At 36.5% G+C, this 6,931-nt stretch overlaps 1 long non-coding RNA gene across 4 annotated transcripts in view; it reads right to left on the bottom strand.

Moving 5' to 3' along the window:
• The window catches only part of LOC105378789 (uncharacterized), a 112,950-nt gene that overhangs the window by 12,015 nt on the left and 94,004 nt on the right, over positions 1–6,931 (bottom strand). For 2 of the 4 annotated variants that reach the window (XR_947488.3, XR_007066166.1), the window contains exons 6-8: positions 4,205–4,321; positions 4,014–4,113; positions 1–528 (exon numbers count right to left, since the gene is read on the bottom strand). The exon at positions 1–528 is cut by the window's left edge and continues 98 nt beyond it. This is a non-coding gene — a long non-coding RNA (uncharacterized LOC105378789). Of the gene's footprint in view, positions 529–1,892; positions 4,114–4,204; positions 4,322–6,931 lie in introns of all 4 variants that reach the window. The other 2 variants (XR_001738106.2, XR_007066165.1) reach the window with 2 other exon arrangements.

The following is a 6,931-nucleotide window of genomic DNA, read 5'->3' as shown; positions in this document are numbered from 1 at the left end:
CACTAGCCAGTTTCTCTCTTATGCACTGCACCACCTCCAGAGAGCTGTTCCCTGATGATCTTACCACAAGAGCACAAAGCCTTTTTGCCTCAAACTTGCAAACTTATCCTCCAGCAAGATAACTCAAAATGCAACATAGATAGGCTCTTAAACACAGGCAGAACATGTACATATACCCTTGCAACTCTTGTTTTGTGTCTTTGTTCTAGTTTCCTCCCAATATAGCAGAGCAGCTGTGCACAGCTGCTTACCTTCATCTTATTTTTTATAAATCTCATCCATTATAGTCTAGTAATTCCTGATTCTCAGTCTCCAGGACCTTTCACAATGCAGATGAAATAGACCAAATCTCTAGCCTGTAGGAGCTTGAAGTCCAGTGGGTTCACAGATGTTGTTTGAAACACTCCTGACAAAGTGGACTACTGGATTGTCTCTTTCCAGTAACATAAAATCCACAGACACACCCCTTCCCAGAAATGTTGGAGATAAGAAAATCTTTCTTTCACTTATTTTCACAGCTGATATATTCTGGGGAAATAAACCAAACAACATATATTAGAGTGCCTAGTGCAAAAAACTTTAACTGACATAGACAATTACAAAGCAATCCCTTGAAGGATGTTCAAACCAGCAAGGGGGGTAAAATATACAAAAATCTTTTAGAATTGTTTGTAACTCTCATTGTTTCCTAGGATGTGATCATTCATTGTAGCGGAAATTGCTTATTATTATTGTCATATTTTCGGAGGACTAAAATGGACATGAGTGTGATAATTGAGGGTAGAAGGTGATACTGGATACATTATTCTGCAAAATCAAGTGGGCAGTGGTAGTGCTGACAATTGCCATAAAGAGAAAATCAAAGAAAAGGGTAGAGGCTAGGATACTGGACACTATTTGGTGTAGAACTAGAGAAGAAATCACAAGGAATGAGAAAGTTTGGAAAATCACGTACTGAGATTAAGGGAATCAAATGCCAAAATGTGATTCTGCCCTGTAACTTATCAAATCTTTGCAAAAAAGACTAAAGTGAGAAAATGCTAATTGTGTTTAGAATCTTATTGCAACAATGAGGCCTCCAAAGACTACCTACCAGCTTCTGAATGGGTGAGAAAAATCTGCCTATGAGAATGATCAACTTACATGTGGGTTATACATATAAAAATATAGTAAGAATTTATGGCAGAGCATGACTAGTTCCGAATGAATACATCAACTGGAAATATTTTATGAGTTCAACAGTGGGATAATCAAGAATTTTTTCATAAAGGAGAGGAGATGTCTAAGTCCTTGCTAGTTGGTGTTGAAAATCACCTCTGTCTAATAATCCAAGCAGCAGTTTTCTATATAACTCACAAAGCTCAGGGTATCTTAAAGCTCTTAAGAAGAGCATGCAAATATGCACTTGTGGATAATGCTCATATCAGAAAATGACTATATGTTTCAGAGATTATGACAATAGGTTCTAGTCCTGTTCTTAGCCTGGACAGTAAAGTCTAGATTATGATTGTTTTACAGTACATGGGACAAATTATCTATCAGAGAAATTGTTATTAACTCTCTCATAAAGCTCTGACATAAAAGCAATTCCTTTAAAGCTTTTGTCAGTTCTCTGCCTACTTTATGGGACAGAGGAGCACACTGCATCTTTTGGAGTTCTCAAAAAAGATATGTTGTCAAATTATTGATATAGGAGTTAAAAAGGAATTATTTAGGCAGATAGTGAGGTTAAGGAATCCTCGGTAAGGCCTTCCTTTTAATGAAAAGCAGCCCCCAAATCATTTTCTTTTCTAACAGAGAGCAGCCTGTAAAATCAAGCTGCAGAAATAGACGAGCAAGTTGGAAGTTTGCACAGGTGAATGTTGGCAGTTGTGCCAATAGGAAAAGGTTACCTGGGACTAGGCATGATCAAAATGGCCGCTCCATCTTCTCTTCTCTTGGCCAGCCACGTGTACAGTAAGGATCAGACAAGATGGCGCTGGCCAAGTGGAAAGACTATTTGCTTAATAAGATTAGGGTGGGGCAACCAGCCTTCCCCACATGCTATGTAAATGTCACATCTGTCAAACCAATCTGTGAGCCCTATGTAAATCAGACACCACCTCCTCAAGCCTGCCTACAAAATCTGCTACCGTCCGCTGCAGGCCAGCTTTTCCCTTTTGGATTCCCCTCTCTCACAAGAGAGAGAGCGAGGTGCTCTCCTTTCTCTTTCATTTGCCTATGAAACCTCTGCTCCTAAATTCACTCCTCATGTGTGTTTGTGTTCTTAATCTTCTTGGAGGAGGACAATGAACCTTGGGTATTTACCCCAGACAATGATGCTGCTTCATTATGACATGGTATCTTAAATTGCATTCTTAAAATTAGCTCAAGCAACAATGAAGTGTTTGTGAAGACATATACAAAAAATCCTCGAAATAACAACTAATTAGAATAATTAGGTATTACCTTCACTAAGAATTAATATGCTTGGGCTATCTTTGAGTTGTCCTGAATCCTACTTATACTCTTACTGCTCTCCTTACGGTCACTCACACACTAATTTTCAATATCACATGAAGTAACATCTGATAACTTGGATATTTTAGGACATTTACAGTGCTCAGACATGATGAGAAAACTGTTACGGGAAGCCCAAAATTAACCCCTACTTCTTCCTGACATTTTGCCATACTAAAGTAATTAATATATACAAAACTTCATATAATACACTAAAGAGGTAACTGGTTAGAAACACAGTCTATGAGGTTAAGAATAAGACATTGAAGTTAGGCAGATTTAGGTTGAAATCTCAGTTCTGCAAAACACTGTCTGTATTTCAGAAACAAAATTTTAAAACTATCAGTGCCCCAGTGTTTTCATTTAGAAAATAGGAATGATATCTACTTCTCTAGATTGTATGAATATTAAATAGAGCAATACCTATAAAGTATTTCACACATGCTTGGCGCACATAAAAGCTCTGTAAATGGTAGTTGTTATTTACCATTAACTTTCATAGTTAAATGTTAATTTAGTCTAGAAGCAAAAACATTCACTTTTATATCAGAAGCATTACAACTACAAAATTGAATGTTTTCCCCACTGGAGTGTAAGTTTTAGAGAACAGAGATAATGTCTATCATATTGACCACTGTATCCTCATAATGCTTGGCATGTGGTAGTCATTGAATTGCATTTGCTGACTTACTGAATGAATATGGACCATCTAGGCAACTTGTAGAGAACATTAATAGTCTCAAACAAAATTTAGAAAAGTACATATCTACATAGGGTCAATCATCAGGTGTTTGGACGGTGACTAAATAAAACTTGTAAAATTTCAGTGAATCCTTCTTTGGCTGATGTGAGAGTGAGCCATGTTTATGGCCATTTTTCTATGATAAAAACACCAGTAAAGGTCAATTAAGTGATTCGGGTTTTAGTCTCATAACTTTGTGGGCAGCAATTTGTTCAGTGTAATGTTGAAAGGTACAAAATGATAAGTAAGATTTAATCTTATGATCTGATAGAAAAGAATAGCCATGAATGCCAGAAAGAGAATGATAAGCACCATTAAGGAGGTACCATTAAAGTGCACTTTGAGTGCTCAAGTAGGGAAATATTTATTGTTAATTATAAAAACTAATTGCTAATAACCGATTGATTGGAGTATTTGATAACTGAGTCCTTATATAATCTACGTATCTGATCTCTTGACCTCGTTCTCTATTTGTTACCCCTCACTCATTTACTCTAGCCACACACCTACTCACTGTTCCTCCAATATTCCAAACACAAGTCCTGTTTAGAGAATTTTGTATTTTCTTTTTCCTTTGCCCGGAGTTCTTCTTTGCCAGATCCCCATAGAGCTCACCTTCTTACTTACTGATTGTTAATCAAAAATCACTTTCTCAATGAGACCTTTCCCAATCGTCCTATATAAATTTCAACCACATATGCTTATCTCATATCACTTTTTTCTGTTTTATTCTCCTAAGCATTTAGCTCTACACATAATACATTTTACTTACATTTTTAATTGTTGGTTTCTTTCACTATAATGTAAACTTCATGAGAGATTTTTTGTCTTTTTCTTGATTAGTGTATGTCCAGTGTCTGGAAAAATGAATGCTGATACATAGTGGAAAATCAAAATTTGTTGAAATAAAGAATGAATAAACTAATGGTTGTTTAATATTTACAGTTCAGAAAGTGCACTCACATAAATTTGTTCTTTACTCTTCCTAACAATTCTATGCAGTAGGTAGGATTACGTTTAGCTAGAGGAATCACTGAAGACTTCTTATAAGAGATGGCACTTGAAGCATGGGTCAGACAGCTGGAGAAAAATATGAAAAAATACCACATTTCCAAAATAAAAATAGTATTTAACAATTCTTATGAATCCCACTATTTGAGTGGAAAGAAATCCATGTAACTGTGATCATTATTTTTGTAGTTCAGATTATATAGCTTGGATTTAAAGCAATTTCCTTATGTTCAAGTTTGTTTAAAATACTGAAAGAAAAATAATGTCTGGAGAGTGATACGGATGAATGGCTAGGCACCATTTTTACTGGTTTTATAAATCAGATTAAACTTTTCAAATGTAGTCAAGTAAGTTTCACTGTACCGTAAGCTCCTTGAGAGCCTAAGCTTTAACTCTCCATTACCTGACACATAGCATGTGCTCATTCAACCTTTATACCTGACACGTAGCATGTGCTCATTCAACCTTTGCTCAATGGATATTTGTTGCTTTGGTATAAACCAACCACTGACAGTGAAAAATGAAGATAACGCTGAATTGGGTTATGAATTCATTCATTTATTCCCTCAGAAAACCCGACTGGGTTCTAACAATGTTTAAGAAACTGCTCTTTGTACTGGGGATATGATGGTGCACTGGCTGGTTCTGACTATGCCTTAATACAGATTGTAGGCTAGCAGGAAAAATAGACATCAAGCCATAATTCGCCTATTCTTGCAGTAAATTCTATGAAGGAGAAAGCACTATGAAAGCAAATAACAAGAGGATACGCCTGATTGTAAAGCTAATCCTATAAGTTAAAAAAAAAATTAAAGGCAACTTCTTCCAAATGTGGTAAAGAAGATAGGCATTGTTATAACAGAGAGAAATGCACACAGTAGGTAACACAAAGAACTTAAAAAGGAAAAATAAGACAAAAATATTCTCATTTTATTTGATAAGTTTTAAGCAAGACATTTTAATACCTTGGGAACTTGATGAACAGAACTAGGGAATGGGGAGAGTATTGACAGAATGGACCTGGTTCTATACATCAGTGGTCCCCAACCTTTTTGGCACCAGAGACCAGTTTTATGGAAGACAATTTTTCCACCGACTGGTGGAGGGCAACGGGGGAGATGGTTTCAGGATGTCAAGCACATTACATTTATCGTGAACTTTATTTCTATTATTATTACTACATTGCATTATATGATGAAATAGTTATACAATTCACCATAATGTAGAATCAGTGGGAGCCCTGAGCTTCTTTTCCTGCAACTAGATGGTCCCATTTGGGGGTAAAGGAGACAGTGACAGATCATCACATTAAATTCTCATAAGGAGCATGCAACCTAGATCCCTCGCATGCACAGTTCACAATAGGATTTGTGTTCCTGCGAGAATCTAATGCGGCCTCTGATCTGACAGGAGGAGGAGCTTAGGTGGTAATGAGAGTGATGAGGAGCAGCTGTAAATACAGATGAATTGTCACTCACTTGCCTGCTGCTCATCTCCTACTGTGCATCCTGGTTCTGCCAACAATCTGTGGCCCAGAGGTTGAGGACCCCTGCGTTACTTCACTATGTTCCTAAAGCATCTATCACTGTGGTTACACGCAATACATGCTCAATTTGTGCCAATAGACTAAATAAATGAATAAATTAAAGATACTTAGAAAGATGGGACTAGTAAAGTTGGATTATTTTAATCTGTGACTGATGATGAAATTTAGAGAAAAAATGATGGGAAATTGACTGCACAAAGGGATTTGTATTTTTTCTAAATATTGCTATCCAATGCCTCAGTTTGTTTAGATATTACTTCTAATGTGTACTTAGCTCACTTACACTGTTAATCTGAGGACCAGTCTTGGTCCAGAGGGAAATTCAAATGTAGCAAAAAAAATTGACCTACCTATCTACGTCTGTCTATGCATTATCAGTGTAGGTTTACAGCTGTACTCTTCATGAGAACTACCTTTTATTTTGAGATTATGTCATTTGTGATTTTTTATGCTGAAATGTCATTATTTTAGGAAACGTGCTATCTGTTAAGTTGCCAGGTGTTGAATACACCAGATTGGGTCACCTTTTCTATTATGCATAGGTGAATGACACTGATTTGCAGACTAGTCCTTCCCATCCTTCTCGGTTTGCACTGTCAACCTACTTGTCTTCTGAAGTAGGTGAAAACAACTTTAATTTTCCAAAGTGATAAGTGGTTGATTCAATTTTGGAGGGAGTAGAGTTGTTTAGGAGAAACAGGATGAAATTACATCTCATATAGGGAAGGTAAGGGGAAGATATTTTTGGTTGCCTATGTTCAGGCTGTACCCTCTTCTTATTTATTAATGAAGTCCCAATTTTGTTCAGATATTGACTATCAATATAACAAAGAAAAGAGGGCTAGCCAGTCATAATAATCCCATAACACTTTGTCAGTGCTTGGTTTGCATTTGCCATAAGATGGGAGGGGTAGTATGCCCTGATTTTCTAGGGGAATAAGTTCCTTTCTGATAAAAAAGAAAGAGGTCCAGAAGGAAGCCACAGTCAAAAAAAAAAAAAAAAAAAGAAAGAAAAGAAAGAGGAATACAAAAAAGACTTGTGCTCTCTGTTGCTTCTGACTTTGAATTGTATAAGTTGAGAAAGTCATGTGGAACTGTGGCAGTCATGTTCAGACTATGAAGAAAAGCCCAGA

The sequence above is a fragment of the Homo sapiens genome, chromosome 1, assembly GCF_000001405.40.
Source record: "Homo sapiens chromosome 1, GRCh38.p14 Primary Assembly".
Taxonomy (NCBI): Eukaryota; Metazoa; Chordata; class Mammalia; order Primates; family Hominidae; genus Homo; species Homo sapiens.
Note: the sequence above shows the minus strand (reverse complement) of the source record. Positions and strands in the feature narration are given on the sequence as shown.